Source organism: Homo sapiens, chromosome 14 (genome assembly GCF_000001405.40).
Source record: "Homo sapiens chromosome 14, GRCh38.p14 Primary Assembly".
In the NCBI taxonomy this organism is placed as follows: Eukaryota; Metazoa; Chordata; class Mammalia; order Primates; family Hominidae; genus Homo; species Homo sapiens.
In genome coordinates, this window is record NC_000014.9 from 40,377,903 (window position 1) to 40,399,165 (window position 21,263).

The window sequence follows — 21,263 nt, forward strand, 5'->3', positions numbered from 1 at the left end:
TGTTCTGTTGATCTATATCTCTGTTTTCATACCAGTACCGTGCTGTTTTGTTTACTGTAGGCTTGTAGTATAGTTTGAAGGCAGGTAGCGTGATGCCTCCAGCTTTGTTCTTTTGGCTTAGGATTGACTTGGCGATGCGGGCTCTTTTTTGGTTCCATATGAACTTTAAAGTAGTTTTTTCCAATTCTGTGAAGAAAGTCATCGGCAGCTTGATGGGGATGGCATTGAATCTATAAATTACCTTGGGCAGTATGGCCATTTTCATGATATTGATTCTTCCTACCCATGAGCATGGAATGTTCTTCCATTTGTTTGTATCCTCTTTTATTTCATTGAGCAGTGGTTTGTAGTTCTCCTTGAAGAGTTCCTTCACGTCCCTTTTAAGTTGGATTCCTAAGTATTTTATTCTCTTTGAAGCAATTGTGAATGGGAGTTCACTCATGATTTGGCTCTCTGTCTGTTATTGGTGTATAAGAATGCTTGTGATTTTTGTACATTGATTTTGTATCCTGAGACTTTGCTGAAGTTGCTTATCAGCTTAAGGAGATTTTGGGCTGAGACAATGGGATTTTCTAGATATACAATCATGTCGTCTGCAAACAGGGACACTTTGACTTCCTCTTTTCCTAATTGAATACCCTTTATTTCCTTCTGCCTAATTGCCCTGGCCAGAACTTCCAACACTATGTTGAATAGGAGTGGTGAGAGAGGGCATCCCTGTCTTGTGCCAGTTTTCAAAGGGAATGCTTCCAGTTTTTGCCCATTCAGTATGATATTGGCTGTGGGTTTGTCATAGATAGCTCTTATTATTTTGAGATACATCCCATCAATACCTAATTTATTGAGAGTTTTTAGCATGAAGGGCTGTTGAATTTTGTCAAAGGCCTTTTCTGCTTCTATTGAGATAATCATGTGGTTTTTGTCTTTGGCTCTGTTTATATGCTGGATTACATTTATTGATTTGCATATATTGAACCAGCCTTGAATCCCAGAGTTGAAGCCCACTTGATCATGGTGGATAAGCTTTTTGTTGTGCTGCTGGATTCGGTTTGCCAGTATTTTATTGAGGATTTTTGCATCAATGTTCATCAAGGATATTGGTCTAAAATTCTCTTTTTTGGTTGTGTCTCTGCCCGGCTTTGGTATCAGGATGATGCTGGCCTCATAAAATGAGTGAGGGAGGATTCCCTCTTTTTCTATTGTTTGAAATAGTTTCAGAAGGAATGGTACCAGTTCCTCCTTGTACCTCTGGTAGAATTTGGCTGTGAATCCATCTGGTCCTGGACTCTTTTTGGTTGGTAAGCTATTGATTATTGCCACAATTTCAGATCCTGTTATTGGTCTATTCAGAGATTCAACTTCTTCCTGGTTTAGTCTTGGGAGGGTGTATGTGTCGAGGAATTTATCCATTTCTTCTAGATTTTCTAGTTTATTTGCGTAGAGGTGTTTGTAGAATTCTCTGATGGTAGTTTGTATTTCTGTGGGATCAGTGGTGATATCCCCTTTATCATTTTTTATTGTGTCTATTTGATTCTTCTCTCTTTTTTTCTTTCATAGTCTTGCTAGCAGTCTATCAATTTTGCTGAGCCTTTCAAAAAACCAGCTCCTGGATTCATTAATTTTTTGAAGGGTTTTTTGTGTCTCTATTTCCTTGAGTTCTGCTCTGATTTTAGTTATTTCTTGCCTTCTGCTAGCTTTTGAATGTGTTTGCTCTTGCTTTTCTAGTTCTTTTAATTGTGATGGTAGGGTGTCAATTTTGGATCTTTCCTGCTTTCTCTTGTGGGCATTTAGTGCTATAAATTTCCCTCTACACACTGCTTTGAGTGTGTCCCAGAGATTCTGGTATGTTGTGTTTTTGTTTTCGTTGGTTTCAAAGAACATGTTTATTTCTGCCTTCATTTTGTTATGTACCTAGTAGTCATTCAGGAGCAGGTTGTTCACTTTCCATGTAGTTGAGCGGTTTTGAGTGAGTTTCTTAATCCTGAGTTCTAGTTTGATTGCACTGTGGTCTGAAAGAGAGTTTGTTATAATTTCTGTTCTTTTACATTTGCTGAGGAGAGCTTTACTTCCCAGTATGTGGTCAATTTTGGAATAGGTGTGGTGTGGTGCTGAAAAAAATGTATATTCTGTTGATTTGGGGTGGAGAGTTCTGTAGATGTCTATTAGGTCTGCTTGGTGCAGAGCTGAGTTCAATTCTTGAGTATCCTTGTTAACTTTCTGTCTTGTTGATCTGTCTAATGTTGACAGTGGGGTGTTAAAGTCTCCCATTATTATTGTGTGGGAGTCTAAGTCTCTTTGTAGGTCACTCAGGACTTGCTTTATGAATCTCCAACAGACCTGCAGCTGAGGGTCTTGTCTGTTAGAAGGAAAACTAACAAACAGAAAGGACATCCACACCAAAAACCCATCTGTACATCACCATCATCAAAGACCAAAAGTAGATACAACCACAAAGATGGGGAAAAAACAGAGCAGATAAACTGGAAACTCTAAAAAGCAGAGCGCCTCTCCTCCTCCAAAGGAACGCAGTTCCTCACCAGCAACGGAACAAAGCTGGACGGAGAATGACTTTGACGAGCAGAGAGAAGAAGGCTTCAGACGATCAAACTACTCCGAGCTACCGGAGGAAATTCAAACCAAAGGCAAAGAAGTTGAAAACTTTGAAAAAAATTTAGAAGAATGTATAACTAGAATAACCAATACAGAGAAGTGCTTAAAGGAGCTGATGGAGCTGAAAACCAAGGCTCGAGAACTACGTGAAGAATGCAGAAGCCTCAGGAGCCAAAGCGATCAACTGGAGAAAGGGTATCAGTGATGGAAGATGAAATGAATGAAATGAAGGGAGAAGGGAAGTTTAGAGAAAAAAGAATAAAAAGAAATGAGCAAAGCCTCCAAGAAATATGGGACTATGCGAAAAGACGAAATCTACGTCTGATTGGTGTACCTGAAAGTGACGGGGAGAATGGAACCAAGTTGGAAAACACTCTGCAGGATATTATCCAGGAGAACTTCCCCAATCTAGCAAGGCAGGCCAACATTCAGATTCAGGAAATACAGAGAACGCCACAAAGATACTCCTCGAGAAGAGCAACTCCAAGACACATAATTGTCAGATTCACCAAAGTTGAAATGAAGGAAAAAATGTTAAGGGCAGCCAGAGAGAAAGGTCGGGTTACCCACAAAGGGAAGCCCATCAGACTAACAGGGGATCTCTCGGCAGAAACTCTACAAGCCAGAAGAGAGTGGGGGCCAATATTCAACATTCTTAAAGAAAAGAATTTTCAACCCAGAACTTCATATCCAGCCAAACTAAGCTTCATAAGTGAAGGAGAAATAAAATACTTTACAGACAAGCAAATGCTGAGAGATTTTGTCACCACCAGGCCTGTCCTAAAAGAGCTCCTGAAGGAAGCACTAAACATGGAAAGGAACAACCGGTACCAGCCACTGCAAAATCATGCCAAAATGTAAAGACCATCGAGACTAGGAAGAAATTGCATCAACTAATGAGCAAAATAACCAGCTATCATCATAATGACAGGATCAAATTCACACATAACAATATTAACTTTAAATGTAAATGGACTAAATGCTACAATTAAAAGACACAGACTGGCAAATTGGATAAAGAGTTAAGACCCATCAGTGTGCTGTATTCAGGAAACCCATCTCACATGCAGAGACACACATAGGCTCAAAATAAAAGGATGGAGGAAGATCTACCAAGCAAATGGAAAACAAAAAAAGGCAGGGGTTGCAATCCTAGTCTCTGATAAAACAGACTTTAAACCAGCAAAGATCAAGAGACAAAGAAGGCCATTACATAATGGTAAAGGGATCAATTCAACAAGAAGAGCTAACTATCCTAAATATATATGCACCGAATACAATACATACAAATTTGTTAGGTATATGAAAAAATACTCAATATCACTTATCATCAAAGAAATGCAAATTAAAACCACAATGAAATATCACCTCACACCTAGCAGACTGGCTTTTATCAAAAAGTTAAAAGTTTTTGTAAAGATGTGGAGAAAAGGGAACCCTTGCACATTGTTGGTGGCGATGTAAACTAGTACAGCCATTATGAAAATCTGGAGGCTTTTCAAAATATTAATAATGAAACTGCCATGTGATTCAGCGATTTCACTACTGTTTATCCAAAGGAAATAAAATCAGTATTTTGAAAGATATCTTCACTCCTATGCTTGTTGCAGCATTATTCACAATAGCCAATATATGGAATCAATCAGTCAAAGTGTCCATAAATTGATGAATAAATAAAGAAAATGTGGTACAGATACACAATGCAATATGAATTAGCCTTAAAAAGGAATGAAATTCTGTCATTTGAGATAACATGGATGAAGCTAGAGAACATTATGTTAAGTAAAGTAAGCCATGCACGGAAAGACAAACACTGCATGATCTCAATTATATGTGGAATCTAAATAAGTCAAACTTAGAGGAGTAGAGGATAGAATCGTCCTTAACCGGGGCTGGGAGATGGTTAAAGGATACAAAATTTCAGTTAGATAGGAGGAATATCTTTAAGAGATTTGTTGTAGAAAATAGTGACTATAGGGGCCGGGCGTGGTGGCTCATGCCTATAATCGCAGCACTTTGGGAGGCCGAGGCAGGTGGATCACGAGGTCAGGAGTTCGAGACCAGCCTGGCCAACATAGTGAAACCCCGTCTCTACTAAAAATACTGAAAATTAGCCAGGCGTGGTGGCAGGCGCCTGCAATCCCAGCTACTCAGGAGGTTGAGGCAGGAGAATCGGTTGAACTGGGAGGCAGAGGATGCACTGAGCCAAGATCACGCCACTGCACTCCAGCCAGGGCGACAGTGAGAGACTTGGTCTCAAAAAAAAAAAAAAAGAAAGAAAGAAAGAAAGATAAAAGTGAGTATGGTAAATTGTAAGTGATTTTGAAAAAAATTTTAAAAGACAACAATTAGAATGAATAAGTATCTGTCAAAAATGAACTAGTACTTAAACTGGATTAATGTTCATAGCTATAGTATCTTTAATTTGTATTTTTTAGCTTCCTTAATTTTTTTGGTCTTATAAGTATTCCTTACATTTCTTTGTAATCTTTACAATAAGATGTTAAAGGCGAGCTCAGTGTTTTCTGCATTCTTAGATCCTTTTGTCAATAACTTTTCATTTCCTTAAAGTCTGTGCTTTAAAAATCAGCCAACCAACCAACCAACAGGAAACAAACACATTGTGGCCTCTCGTTATAATTTCTATCCAGTGCAAAACTTAATTGATATTATGTGGTTATAATTCCAAGAGTACAAAAGGGCGTATGGTGAAACTAAGCCTTTTCTCCAAATTCCATCAACATAGAAAAATGTAGGCAGACTGCATGTTCTTTCAGGGATATTTTAGGCTCATTGGTTTATATACACAAATGCATCTCTGTGAAAAATAGCACATTTCATACATCTGGAATTGCTTTCATTCAATAATGTCTCTTGGTAGTCATGCCCTATTAATAAATTTTTGTAAGAGCTGCCATGGAATACTTAGCATAGTTGTGCCATAACTGATTTATTAATTTTCTATGTATTTGCTACTACAAGCAATGTTCAATAAACTACTCTCTCTATGTAAATATATATGGTAGATATAGATATATATAATTTGAGTGTTTATGATGGTGTATATTTAAGATGGATTATTAAAAGGAGAATTACTGTTAAAATATTTCCAAATATTATTTTAAAGTATATAATACATTACAATTTACAACCATGAAGAATATGATTTATAATATGTGAGGCATATGAAGGTACCTGTTTTCCTTCACATTTTATATTTTGATCTTTGCATGCCAATAATGGATATTTGGTATTTCAATGCACATTGCATTTTCCTTTCTCATATAATTTAGGCTTTATAACTTTGAATATGATTAAAAACCATTTGTATTTTCTTTTCCCAATAAACAATTTGCTTACATATTTTGTCCCTTTTTCTACTCTTTTTATCTGCAGGACTTTCTCATGTTTGACCTTCCATACCCATTTCTGTGTTGAGAGCTACTCATCATCCAGTTCATTTTGGAACATAGCCTAATGTTAGCTTTGTCTGTTGCTTGAATCTGTGATTTTTTTTCATTTATTTTAAATCTTTCTCCTTTGATGTATTATTAGTCCATTCTCATGTTGCTATAAAGAATTGTCTGAGACTGGGTAATTTATAAAAGAAAGAAGTTTAATGGCTTCACAGTTACACATAGCTGGGGAGGCCTTGGGAAACTTACAATTGTGGGGAAAGGAGAAGAAAACACATCCTTTTTCACATGATGGCAGGAAGGAGAAGTGCTGAGAAAAAGGGGGAAAAGCCCCTTATGAAACCATCAGATCTCATGAGAACTCATTCAATATCATGAGAATAGCATAAGAGTAATAGCTCCCATGATTCAATTACCTCCCACCAGGTCCCTCCCAAGACAGAGGGGATTATGGAAACTACAATTCAAGATGAGATTTGGGTGTGGACACAGTCAAACCATATCAGATGTCAAACAGGCTTGTTTTCTAGAGTCACAAAACTGCTGTCCCTTGATTTGCCATATTTCTATGCATTCAGTGATAAACTTTTAAAAGACCAGTATTTATATAGTTCTACTTTCTTATTTTTGTCTAACTCTGTAAAATTTTGTAATATAAGTAATTTTTCTATCACTTAAATTGTACTCTTGCATCATTAGAGTCATTTTAATCTTTAATTAGAAGATATTTGTAATCCTTCTGTATTTGATTTTATTTAACATTTGTACCTGTTGATTACTGTCTCCCTCTTGAAAACCAATGTAATGCAGTTCTAGATCTTCTCAATACTCTGAGGATTATTTGCCTTATTTCAGATTTTGGGGGCCTTCTCTCTATATAATCTTCTACTAATGATTAGATGCTGTGTTATCACATCACCTGTTTTTCAGTGATACTGTCACATATTTGTTTCTCTCTTAAATTCTAGTATGAATAGAAATCTGCATTTGCATTATCAGCTTTATTTGAATAAACTTCTCACATTTTAAACTTAGTAAGTCTATAAACAAACCCATTATTTTCTCTTCAATATTCCTCTAGCTTATTTCTATTCTCTAAATGACATCACCATTTTTCTTGCTTTTGCTTTTTTTATTCTTTCCAAAATATTTAAAAACTGTTATGTCTCAAACAATTAGTAGGAGAAATAAATACGTAAATTCTGAAATAGGATGAAAGCAGAAAGCAGATTAGAGTTGGAGATCATGACCACATGATTATAGGAGTTCTATAATCATGAGAAACTTTATAGCATGTAGCTAAAATCCATGAACTGGAAGAATGAATAGGATAAGCATTTAGTCATCATCTTTAGTGCTTAATTGAAGGATTGCTGTACTGGTTAACTCTTCTATACCTCTGTGTTGTAAGCATCTGTGTGCCAAGGGCTTCTGTGTATTTAGGGTTCCTGCAGTTATTCCATTCCCATATCTCTAAGAAGCCACAAACAGAAAGAAAGAGGCTCACAGTAGATACCTTGGCAGGCATATTTGATTTACACTTATAAGAGGCTGTCCTCTGATGGCTAAAAGTACATGGAGCTAGTTGCTGCAGTTGTTACCAAAGTAAGAGTTGATAGACTAGAAGTAAAGCATAAGAAATGTCTGGCTCATTGTAATTGTCCTGTATTTTAACAGACCAGATTACTATTCATTTACAAAACCTGATCTCTACTTTCTCACTTGGTGACTTTGATTGAGCTAATGTGTACCTTCAGGTGCCCTTCATTCTATATCTGCCAATCCTAATCCCACCCATTCTTTAGTTCCCAGCTTAAATTATCCCTCCTTGAGTTTGGCTCATTACTAAAAACCTATCTTTTTTTCCTAACTTGTATATACCAATAAGGGGTCTTTGGTAGCCTTAATTAAATGAATCTTTTTTAAAGACAAGAATAGGTTTCTTTTCTTTGTAGTGTTTGATTAATTCCATCCAAACTATTGAGATTGAAAATGTTTCTCATGGTGCTATTATATCTGTGACCAGTTATTAATTCTATTTTTTACCTCAGTTGTCTCATCTATATCATCTGGGTTAATAATATGTATTTTGCTAAGTTACTAAAAATTTTAATTAATGAACTGTAAGTAATGTGCTTGCACAGAGTAAATGTCCTCCAAAACTTATTTTCCCACCTGCAAGGCCATGGTAGGAACCTATTGTTTTCTATGTTCCTTTGAATTAACTAATTGCAAATGAAGTTGTCTACAGTTAAGCAATGCTTTGCTCTTCAGTGAGGATGACACATTTTTTTTGCTTTATTTTATTCGCTGATTGCCACAGAGATTATATTGCCACCATGGAAGAGGAGGAGCTGGAAGGAGATTCTGAAGCCTTGGGACAAAGCTGGTGCTGCGGCAGTCAGAGCAGAGAGACAGAATGATGCCACTGATTGCTGTGCTTTTGGAGACTGTTCTACTTCTGAATTTCCAATTCAGTGAAATAATGCCTGTCCTCATTTATTAGCCTTTTAGAGTTGGGTTTTCTGGTTTGCTTTGTTTAAAGTATTCAAAATGGCACATACTTCTACTTAGCTTTAATGTTTCTTCTTTTTATTTATCTTAGGCTCTGCTGCTGTCCTGTCCATAAGGTTATTTGTTGGTAAAATATTAAACTACAGGAAACATAACAGCCTCAGAAAAGCATGACTCAACATGAGCCTGGGACAACTCAGGGTCTCTCTACTGTGCACAGCATTTGTTCTGCTTTCAAGGCTCCCCACAGCATCTGAAGCTTTACATCCCTGGAGGCAACTGCCCATATGTTTACCTTTATTACCAACTGCAGTTTCCAGGCATCTGCTAAATTACAATTTTGAGTGCTTAATGGTGATTTCATTTGTGTAAAAAAAAAGCGGGGAGACTCTTTGCCCCTCATTAACTTAGAATGGCATTGCACCACACCGTAGAGCTGGCATATAGGTATATTGAAAGAAGTGGGTAGAGCTAAGAGGATTAGAAGCTTATGTGTGCCGTGAGGAGGTAAGAATCAGGTTGTGTTCATGTGTGTTTATGTCCTTTCTTGGAACAATAAAGTAAACAGATTTTCTCCTCTGAGAGAAAGAAAGTTTCAATAATATAGAAATAGCTTTGCCCCTATCTAGGGCCCTTATGTCTTTTTAACCCCAAGGGGCATATCACAGAGTGTATAGGAGAATATGGCAATATATCAAAGGCGATAAAGGCCACAGAGCTACAGATGTTCCCCCATCCTATGCAAGCTGCTTCTCTATAGAGCCTTCCATTCTGCAAAGCTTCCAGCTTGTTCTGTCATAGCACCTGATTAGACAGCCGTGCCTCCAACACTCTTGGCTGTCCTTTCTTTCCTTGGTTAACTTCTCTTGTCAGTGCAGTTGAGTTATCAACATGGTATAAGTGTTACATCAATACCATTTCAGAAATAAAACACTAGCCATGCAAAGGCTGAAGCAAATTGTTTTCCAACTAAATGCTGGCAGCCTGCTCTTATAGATTAAGACCAGGTTTCTCCACAAAGCACTGAAGCAGCAAATTTAAAAGGAGGCAAATAGAACATAGACTATATAGCAACAGAGATAAAACAGTTCATTACCTAGCTAATGTTTGCATTTTTCTGCTTTAGAGCATGTAAAAAATTAGAGATAACAAAATGACACTTAATAGACGCTGGACATGTAGAGGGAAATGTAGCTTTTAAAGACATTTTTCTTCTATTCCTGGCAAAAGTAAGCGAGGGAAAGGTGAATGTAGCAGGTACAAATCACACAGGCAGAAAATACAGAGGAAAGACCTAAAGCCTAACTCAATTCTATGGATTTTAATTATGGAAATCTGGCCAAGTCACTCCCCTCCTTGCAGGGATTGTTATTACTTTATTATGAAAAAATTGAAACAGTTGTCTTCTCTACTGCACAGGGTTGTGGCAAAAACAAAATGGCATTGTGAATGTAAAAGTTCATTAAAAACTCTAAAATGTGATAGCATAATGTAAACCACTTTTTTTTTTTTTTTTTTTCCAAAACGGAGTCTCGCTCTGTCGCCCAGGCTGGAGTGCAGTGGCGCGATTTCGGCTCACTGCAAGCTCCGCCTCCCAGGTTTACGCCATTCTCCTGCCTCAGCCTCCCGAGTAGCTGGGACTACAGGCGCCCGCCACCATGCCAGGCTAATTTTTTGTATTTTTTAGTAGAGACGGGGGTTTCACCATGTTAGCCAGGATGGTCTCGATCTCCTGACCTCGTGATCCGCCTGCCTCGGCTTCCCAAAGTGCTGGGATTACAGGCGTGAGCCACCGTGCCCGGCCAAACCACTTTTTTTTTTTTTTTTTTTTTTTTACATAAAGATGCATTACAATTGAGTTTTCAATCTCATGACACAAGAGTCACAAAGACACAGAACATTTAGCTGACACTGAGATAGTTATGATTCACAAAGACATTTTAGAAACTATTGAATTCATCTACAGCTACAGTCCATACAGCTCTCTGCCAGGGAGTTTTTCTGCCTGCATTTGGACATGTACTGTGACAGAGAGTTCAGCATTTATTTGTTTGAGTCCAACCTCTCCTCTCTGCAGTGAGCTGGATCATGCCATGCATAAAGCATGGGGTCTTCTAAGAAAAGGGCGCAAGTCCTTGCTTTGCCACTTAATATTTTTCTAATACCGAGCAAGTTACTCTCAGATACCACTGCCTCATTTATAAAAGTTTGATAATAATGCTACACATGTCAAAGGGTTATCATAGGGTTAGAAAAGTCCATTTCAGATGCTAGTTATTATTTTGAAGTGAGAATTCATTGTATCTTAAGAAATATGTTATATTTGTTGACTGAACACAGGCAGCAATAACAGAGTGCTATAGATAATATGTGTCATTCATATTCAAATACCTCTCATAAATGTTATCTTTTAGAAAATATGTTATTAGCCCTCAGAAATAATAAAGGATTACACATGAACTCTGGATCCCCTCAACACAGCTTAATAAAAAGCCACTGTGCTTTTTCTTTTAAAACAGAAAAAGAAACGTGTTTGGATATCAATGATCTTCAGTAACTCATAGAATAGAGCATAGGCTGGGCCTGTGTAATGGCTCAGGCCTGTAATCCCAGCTCTTTGGGAGGCTGAGGCAGGAGGATGGCTTGAGCCCAGGAGTTCAAGACCAGCTGGGTCAACAAAGTAAGACCTCGTCTCAACAAAAAAATTAAAAAGTTAGCCAGATGTAGTGGTGTGTGCCTGTGGTCCCATCTACTAGGGAGGTGAGGTAGGAGGATCGCTCAGGCCTGCAGTGAGCCGTGATTGCACTACTGCACTCCAGCTTAGGTGACAGAGACAGCCCCTGTCTCAAAAAAAAAAAAGAATAGAACATTGGCTAGTAATCTAATCGGTGCTAAAGGCATTTGGCATTACCAGGCACCAGGCACAGGCTGGAGTAAGACAAAATTGTCATGTTTTGACATGTCATGAGACAAAATTTATCCTTGCCATTTTCTAGGCTCTTGCCTTTCTCCTGATTTTCCCTGCATAGGTCAGACTCCTCACCTTCCCACTGCATTTTCTTCACTCTTCTTAGAAAAGGGGATTCTCTTGTTCTTCATTAGGTGCTTCAACTGATTTAATGAGCATCAACTAATTTCACTTGTTTGTGTTTGGGTCATTCACTTTTCAAAGTGTTCATTCAGTTACTTCATCCATAAAATGGTGACAATGACATCACAGCTTTGTTTAATAATTAAATAAGACAATCTGTGTAAAGCATTTATCATATTGTCCCACACATAGTAAAGTTCAATGATTTCATAGATATAATTACAATATCATAATTAAGATAAAGTTTTACATTATACTTTCAAAAGTTAGATTTCCAAATAGAAATAGCTTGAGAGCTGGAATGACTGTATTTGAAACTCAGATTTATCAGTTACTAGTTGTGTGGCATTAGGCACTGTTTCAACCTTGATTTTCAGTTTTTATATGATGGGAAATATAGTTAATCATTTAACTACTGCTATTGTGAGGATTAGGTGGGAAAGCCCTGGTCAAAGACTTGGCACTGAAAACATTCATAGTAAATAAATATTAGCTATTTGTTATTATTGTAGTAGTTTAGGAACAATTTCATATTATGCTTTTTAAAAAATGCATACAATGGGGAATGTTGGTTTTCTATTTTGCCTGTTACTAAAAGTTCATGCAAATAATAATGTCCAGAAGTTTAGGGGAAAGAATATTTCCACAAGAACGAAGAGAGAGATTTCACTAATTGTAACTAAGCTTTGTTCTTCCCGACCCTCTATTTCTGCTTCCAGAAGCTGAGACTCAGGTTAGCATCTCACTGTATTTCTGTGAGGAGGAGATATTGGTGCAAGATCTCAAGCAGACAAGCAAAATCCATCCCTATCCAACAACTCCTACCTATTGAGCAAATGATTTAAAAAGTGGTTACTGTGCCATCAGAAAAACTGTTGGGGATTGATGTGTCTCTTTTTGTTGAACTGGCTGAGTAGATAAGTACACAGAATAACTTATACCATCACTTTATATTTACGCTTACCTAATATGATATTGTTATAGCTGTCTTGTGAAATCAAGTTGTTTTCAGCTTGCTTCTGTCATTCTTCCTTCTTCTTTGTGATTAAATAGAAACAAATGATGTAAAATATGTGCTGTTTTCTTTACTCTTCCTAACTTATGTAGGTGGGATGGGTAGCCTTTATTATCTTGGCAAACATAGTGCAGGGATAACTTGCATTGTTGAATTGAGTAGTATAATAGTGACAATGCTAAAAACTCAGTGATAGTTCAGGACTAACCACTGAATATTTGTTATACAATATCTCAAAGTTCTCAGCTGGATTATGACATTATTTTATTTAAAATTTTCTAATATTTAATATGTCTTTTTTCTACATTATTTAAATTGTTTTTGTATTCTTTTTTGGTTTTAAAACATAATGAATAAGAACATAAAATAAAACATACAAAAAGATTTAACTGCTTAAACATAATGCAAATTTGAGACATATTCATGTAATTGATGGTCTCTAAGCAAGTAATAGTTGATTAAATTGTTTGTAATTTGTAGAAAAATAAATGCACCAAAATGTTTGTATGCTATATATTGAAATATTATTTTATTATTTCATTCATGCTTATTCATTGAAGACTAGGAGTGATATCTAGGAGGAACATTTTCTACTTAAAAATTATAAAATATCATTTATTTTTTATTTTAAAAAATCAGATAAGTAGATGCCTTATATACACTGTAATCTCTACAGCTGGGAGTCTTTATAAATTTATTATGCCAAAATATCCAGTCCATATTTTTTTGGCTGCTAAACTAAATCAAGGTGGGCAAGGAAAATGGTAATTGGGGTAGGAGTACAGATAAATTCAGAAGAATCAAGAAGACTGTTTAATGTAGAGAAAATAACAAAATTGAAAACAGTGTGTGACAGTTATCATTGTTATGCTTTCCTGCATCTGAAAATCCTTAATATATTTAGGCAGTTATTGTCATTCATTCACTTACAAATTAATCATGTATATGTGGAGTGCTAACTCTATGTGTGAATATTAGACTGTGTATGCAGCGGTGAAGTCACTGCCTTCATTGAACTTACATTCTAGAAGTTTGTTGTAGGAAAAAACAGGCTGCTACCCATTATAACAAAAAGAAAGATACTTTAATTCTCAAGTCCTCTCAGTACTTCCCCGCTATCCCCCTAACTCCTCCTGTGCCCTGCCCCCTCCAGATCCTTTGCAACATGGGCAAGAACTTTAACCTAGCTTTAATCACTTAGAAGGAATCATCCAGGATTTTAGATTAGCAGCTATTGATGCAAAGAATAAAGAACAATAGCAAATCCATTCTGGTCGTATTATTAATGAAGAGAGCAATACCCAATCTCATATCCACAAATTAGATCCCCCATTTATTGATGTTTAATGATTTATATATTTTTACTACATTCTAATATTCTTGTTATTCAAATATAATATTTTCTTTTTATTTTTTTGAGATGAATATTGCTTCAGTTTTATAAATATCTTTGCAAATTTTCCATCTTAAAATATAATTAAGCTCACTTCTGCATACTTCTAGAGCTTCCCTATCATTATTCACTCATAATTAACATAATGCTCAGCAGAACATGTATGATAATAAGGAGGCCCAAACTAATGTAATAATTGACCTTGACTATCTGGGACGCCTAGGATTACAGTATATATACAATATGTTAAGTTCTTATTTAATTCCCAACTGTGGGAAAAGACAAGTGTCTTAAGTCATCATGCTTATAATCCAAGGCTGTTTTCCTGATTTTAAGCCCTGAGTTTCTTTATAGATTCATAGTACTTGAAGAAAGGGGTGTGCAGGTATTTTTTAGAAAAGTTCTTACAATAACATTACAAATACATACTGTGAATCATTTCATTATTTTCTCAAATAATCCTATGATCATTCTCTCAGTATTTGAGTATATGATATAAATAAATACATAATAAATGTCATTCCAAAGTGACAAAATAAGTATCATCACATTGACTGCATAGGTAAATAAAATAAAGACTATTGGGTTAGAAGGTCTTGGAAGTCCCTAGATTTCCCCCTTTATCAAGGTAATAAATGAGAAAGCAATACTACATTCCTGAGGGAATGGCAAATCTTAGTGTAATTGTCAAAGGCTTGAAAGATTCAGATATGATTATATGTATCATATTACCATTTAATTCTCCAGTTTGCTGATTACAGAAGACAAATGAGACATGGAAAATGATGATGGATTATTTCAAACCTAATTTGGTGGTGACTTTAAGTGTAGATCCAGTTCCAAATGTGGTATTCTTGGTGAAACAAATCAGTACCATGTTAGACACCTTAAATGAAACAATTGATGTCACCTTTTTTTTCTCTATTACAGTAGGACTTGAACTTTGAAAATAATTTCTTTCACCCAATAAGAACAGCAACACACTTTCACTATTATGTCTTAAATCACAACTATCATCTTCTGTGCCACAATTTAGTCTGCAATGACATTGACAATTTCACTATCCCACAAGACACAATACTGGTTGATTATTTTAATAATATACTGATCATGGGAACTAGAGAGCAGGAAGTAGCGGGAATAAATTTGCCTTGGTAAGATATATTTCAGTAAAGTTTCTGCTGCTCAGTATAATGGGGCATATAGGGATATCACCACAAAAGTGAGTAATCAATTCTGCTTCTAAGAAGAGAAAAAAACATTAAGTAGATATCTTTGACTTTGGTTGCAGTGCCCATTTGCTTTGAGCATGACTTGTACTCATTTACCTGGTACCTGAAAATGCTGCTAGCTTTTTGGCCAGAAGGCTCTTTAATGGATCTAGGCTGTACTACAAGCTGTGACAACTTATTTGCTATGACTCACTGGATCTTATGATAGTTGAAAGCTCTGTGGATGATTGGTGATGTTGTATGGAGTCTGTGGAAAACACAATTAGAAAATCACAGAGAAAGCTCCAAGTTTTTTGAAATAATGCCAAACTTTTTTGGGTAAATAAATATTCTGCTTCACAGAGATATACCTTGGCTTGGGACTTCACATAAGGATCAACTATAAGACAGAAGATAAACTTGTGACTGACTCATCATGCTACATCCACTTAGCCATTAACTTGATTACATCTAGCATTTCTACTGTAGAGCACCAGTAAGTGTAAGCAGTTTACATCAGCAGGATCTTTCAAATATCTATCCTTCCACACTATTGACTCTCTCTCAGTGAACAGCTGTGGCTTCATAGGTCATTCCCTATGACCATTTTACTGAGGTGAGGAAGAAACTGAGTCGGAATCACAGATACCACCATGCGATACATTGGCACCAGCCATAGGTTACTGTAAAGAATGAAAAGAAAAAGATACACCTAGAGCAGGCCTCAGAGCAACCAGCTCACTATTCATCTCAGCTGGCTTTAATAGAATGACTTTAGGATTATATCCACATGTCAGATTAACCCATGTGAGCTACCCAAAATTCAGCTGGAATATCATAGTACTTATTCTTATCAACAACTGCTATATGAAAAATGTAACATTTCATAATATTCAAAAATCTTTGCCATTAGGTGGAAAATAAACCTTTGGATCCTCTCACACCTTCAAGGGTCATTAATGATAAATTGGTAAATATACGCCCCCATTTTAAGAACAACAGATTTTTAAAAATTGCATTTCGCTGATCAAACTAGGTGGGCGCTGCATACTTTGGTAATCAGATAAGGTGATGGAGTAGTCACCTTTGAGTGTAGTGGCTGAAAATAGAGTAATTATTTTAAAAATGGCTCATTGAAAATTCTAACTATGCATGTTGGTAGCTCTGGGTCTTACACTCAACTGAAGTCTGATTGTAAATAACTTCAATTAACTGATATGATGTCTGTGTTCTTCCTGGATGGCCAAATTCATTTAAATGTGATGTGCTGTGAAACACTTGAGGGTGTTTTTTTTTTTCTTTTAAGGTTATAAGATAGAACCAAACTCCCTTGAAAGTAATTTTTAAAATCACTTCACTTGTAAACAAAAGAAAAAATAATTTTCTGACTGACTTTAGTAGTTGAAATATCTCCTTTTTAAACTTATTACTCATAAATTAAACACTAATTGTTTAAAGAAAAAGAAAATTCCAAAATATTTAAAAATAAAGCTAACCTGAAGGAAGTATCTGTACACCTAATGGTTTTTGTGGATTGATCACAAACTTGGAAGGGGCAAGTTTGGACCATTATCTACACAGAATTTTGAGCCTGAGGTGTGTGGATATTTGTATTTTATGTAAATGCATTAGAAGGTCCGCACTATGATGAGTAATCTTAATGATCTAATGCAGTGGTTGGCAAACTACAGCCTGCAGGCTAAATCTGGCCCACTGCCTGTTTTTTTAACAGCTGGAAAAAAAATAGACTATTTTGTGGCATATAAAAGTTTTGTTACTTTTTCAGTGTTCAAATTTCAGTCTACAAAAATAAAGTTTTATTGGTACATACTACACCCATTCATTTATGTATTTTATGTGGCTATTTTCATACTCCAGAGGCAGAGTAGAATAGTTGTAACAAAGACTATATGGCCTGCAAAGCTTAAAATATTATCTTATCTTTACAAAAAAAGTTTGCTGACCGCTCCCTGGTGACTATGATGACATCATGACATGTTCTGTGGGTTTCATTGAATATTGTGCATTCCTCATAGGAACAGAGAATTATTCTGGGTTTGGCTATGTTCTCTCCAACTCCCCAATCTTTGCAATTGCTGTGATCATAGTCATTTTGCATCCTGGGGGCTGTCAATGTCCTGTGCTCTGTGGCAGCAGCAGCAGTGCCTTCGGCTCTGGGTCTAGTTGAATAGCCTCTTAATTTTTCTGAGTGGTCCCAGAGGTATACTGCTATCCCAGAGTTTCTAGAAACTACCCTATATTTTTTCAGTTACTTCCTTTTTAGATTAAATAAACCAAAGTGATTACTTTCAAGTAAGAATTCTGGTACAAAACCAAACTCACAAGTAAGTGACCAAAATAGGATTATGAAGATATAAAGTTGGTAAAGTATTTAAGTGGATTAAGTGGATATACAAAAATGCTGTGTCACATATGAAAAAGCCAACATCGAAGGATTTCATCCTAAGACATCAGAAATCCATAAAATAGAAAGATAGCCCACCAAGGTTGAAGAAATATGAGACATAAAATAATTGGTCAAAATTGAGGACTAAGTTTGAGCAACTTGTAAAATAAGATGAACATGGACAGTGACACAATGAAGACAGTTTTTAAAACTTTTGCTATATTTTTATTTTCTCCTGAAAAGATATTTCTAAACAGTCACTGAATGTGAAGGAGTCAGTGAGTGTCAGTGAGTAGTTCAATCAATGTCACAAAAAATGAGAGACCAAAAAAAGACTGGCAGGAAGTAAAGGAGGGGGAAAGTGCTGCTCTCTACATAACCTCTAAATTCTACTAACTCAGGCAAGTCACTTATCTTCCTGCAGTCTTAGTCCTCTCATCTTCAAATCTAGGATAAATTTGACCTCCTTTGAGGATGAATTATGAGGACTAAATGAGTACTCGTTAAGAGCATGAACTCAAATCAAGCAGTCTGGGGACTAAATTGTCCCCTCGAAATGTACTATCCAGGTAAATTTGGGTGAATTATGTAACCTTTCTAATTTGACTTTCTTTCTCTATGTGAGGATTACAATAGTATCTACCACATAAATTTTTGTGTGGCATTAAATAAGAAACTGTATTTTAGCTCATGGTGGAGTGCCTGTAAAAAAAAAAAAAAAAAAAAAAAAGCCCAAAAATGAGAGATGAAAGGAAAGAGGCATAATGATGTGACCAGGGTCTTCAGAAAAGGAAGTGAGCTAAACCCCCAATTTCCCCTAAGTGTCCGCCTTGGAATCATAATGAAATGCTCTCATAATTGGGGCATATTCCCTCTAGATAAATGAGGGTGACAATACATACAGTGCAAATAATTCTTTTCAGACCATGCATTAGCATCTTTCAAATCACATTCCCATGCTCAGTGTATTCTCAGAAGTGGGGAATCAAGTCCTGTGAACAAACCCGTGTGTTGAGTAAGCCTTCTGCCCATTCCTGTGTCCATAACTAAGTCTTTTTATAGCATTTCCCAGTCCTATCCCCCTACTAGCTTTGGCTTGTCCACCCAACAAGGTCATGTGCGATGTCAGTTCTAATTTTCATTAGCTTATTTAGTATTAAGACAACTTCTTGAGAAACACAACCCTATTTACTTTGGTTCACTATTTATTTTATCTTGCTTAGTGAAGAAAAACTTCATGATATGGTTAGGCTTTGTGTCCCCATCCAAAACTCATCGTGAATTGTAATCCCCAGGTGTTAAGGAAGAGACCTGTGGGGAAGTGATTGGATTATGGGGGCGGTTTCCCCCATGCTGTTCTCATGATATGAGTGAATTTTCAGGAGATCTGATGATTTTAAAAATGGTCATTTTTCCTGCGCTGTCACATCCTCTCTCTCACTTGCTGCCCTGTAAGAGCTCCCTTCTTTTCCTTCGGCCATAATTGTAAGTTTCCTGAGGCCTCCCCAGCCATGGGGAACTGTGAGTCAATTAAACTGCTTTCCTTTATAAATTCTTCAGACTCGGATAGTATCTTTATAGCAGTGTAAGAATGGACTAATACACTTCAATCACGTTGTAAAATCAAACTTTTCAGGCAGCAGTTGTCTAGGGCACATGAGGGAGTTTTTACCTGCTTCTTTATCATAGCCCCTGGTATGTATAAATAGACATTTATACTTTTGTCTTTCTTTTTTAGCTCAAAAATTTTTTAAATAATAAGAAATTTAAAAAGCATGTGAAGTTAAGACTAAAAGTTTCTCAAATGTCTTAGTTTTGAGAGTTGAAAGTAACATGTAATAACAAATTCCAAACATTTCAGTATGACTATGCTTAAGTACATGTGATGGAAGTATTTGGTCAATCTAATTTACTTCAAGCTACTTAAAAAATCTAGAAATGCTTTGTCATTTTTCAGAAGTCTTTCAGAAGTTGTAGTACATCAAAATAATATACTTTTAAGAGGTTTCGTTATTATCTTCTGGTCATAGATACTTGGCTTAACATGAACACATAACTTTAGACCAAGTTGTTTAATTCTGAAATTTCTATTTGTAATTGCCTACTTTTCCTGTAGAGAAGACTTTAAGCACACTTAGAGCTGTGTTCAATAAACTTGCAATTACTGCTTCAAAACATTTGCATGAATTGGACCTATTGATGAAGGACAAAACTGAGGATACTCAATCTAGTCCTCCTTATTTGACAAATTAAGTTCCGTTTATGCTATCTCTTTTTAAAAAGCATGTCTGATAAAAAACAATAAGGTTTATGAAGTTCACTTTTATAAAAATCATAGAAACCACATTTACTAATCATATTACATTTATAGATGTTTTAAGGTAGACTTGAATAAATAAAATAAAAGAATAAGAATATAAATGTTTATTTTTACTATAATAAGAATAAAATTATAAAAATAAAAAATTTTAATACATTCACTTATTTTCTAATCAAACTGGATTTTGGCCAAACTTATATTTGTAATTATTAAAAAACAACATTGTTACATAAAATTTATTAGCCTATATAAACCAAATAAACAACCTCTTAAATAAACAGCATGTGTTAGGCCAGCATTAAAAACTTTCATCTGAAAAAAAAATCACTTAATGATCAGTAAAAGAATATTAAATTTATTATTTGTTACAGAAAATAAAGGGCCAGATGTCAGTAACAGCAATGAGCTCCCTAAAGTGGAAAAACAAAATTAATTCATGCCAGTAATATAGTGGAGGGGCTTACGCTATATAAGGAATAAATACTCAAGAAAACAAAGGCATGGGTAGAACACATATTCAATTTAATTTAATTTTTTTCTTCTACTAGTTTGAGAAGTGAGAAACCCTTATTGGATAAATTGCCTCGTGTTTCTGACAAAGTTGCTCTAAATAAACCCTTTTTGATTGCCATTTTAAAAATTGAAGTATTAATATATTTAAAGGCTGAAATGCAAGATGATCTTAAAGTTTTCCTGCTCAAAAAATCATACCACTTCAATAGCTAAACAAGAAGCATCTCATCAGAAACCAACCTCTTCATCTAATGAAAGAAAGAAGTCTGAAATGGCTGATCTGTAGCTTTCTTGTGTCTATCATTTGTGTAAGAGAATGAGTGATGCTGAAAAATAGATTAAAAAAACGACAATTTTCTCTTAATGTTCTGGCATCAGACAGAAATCGTTAGATGGGTATTCCTATAGCAATTCCTAGGATCTATGAATCCATTCATTCCCTAAGTATACTTGGTGGATCAAAACAATATGATACCCAGTAATATGTGCACTACTGTTATTCAAGTTAATATAGAGGTATATTAATATGACTATTAATATACATATTACATAAGACCTAAGACCAGAACAGAAAAAGACTAAAGAAAATGCTTGAGGTTTCTGGCTGAGGGAAAAGGAGTACACCTACAGGATGGGGTGTTAATATTTGCCATTCTGGACAGCATCAACAACTATTATAAAAGAATTTTAACTTGAAGTTAACACGAGAATCTGTCTTTCAGTTCTCTTTATATAACTTCTGTCATATGTCAGAAGCTCTTTCCAGCTCTGTC

The 21,263-nt window shown here is 35.7% G+C and overlaps 1 long non-coding RNA gene across 3 annotated transcripts in view; it reads left to right on the forward strand.

The window, feature by feature from the left end:
- Nucleotides 1-12,612, forward strand: part of LOC105370462 (uncharacterized) — a 72,153-nt gene extending 59,541 nt beyond the window's left edge. For 2 of the 3 annotated variants that reach the window (XR_007064129.1, XR_943785.3), the window contains exon 3: nucleotides 8,350-10,029. This is a non-coding gene — a long non-coding RNA (uncharacterized LOC105370462). Of the gene's footprint in view, nucleotides 1-8,349; nucleotides 10,030-12,350 lie in introns of those variants that run through there. The other variant, XR_943784.3, reaches the window with a different exon arrangement.
- Nucleotides 12,613-21,263: the final 8,651 nt, after the last annotated feature.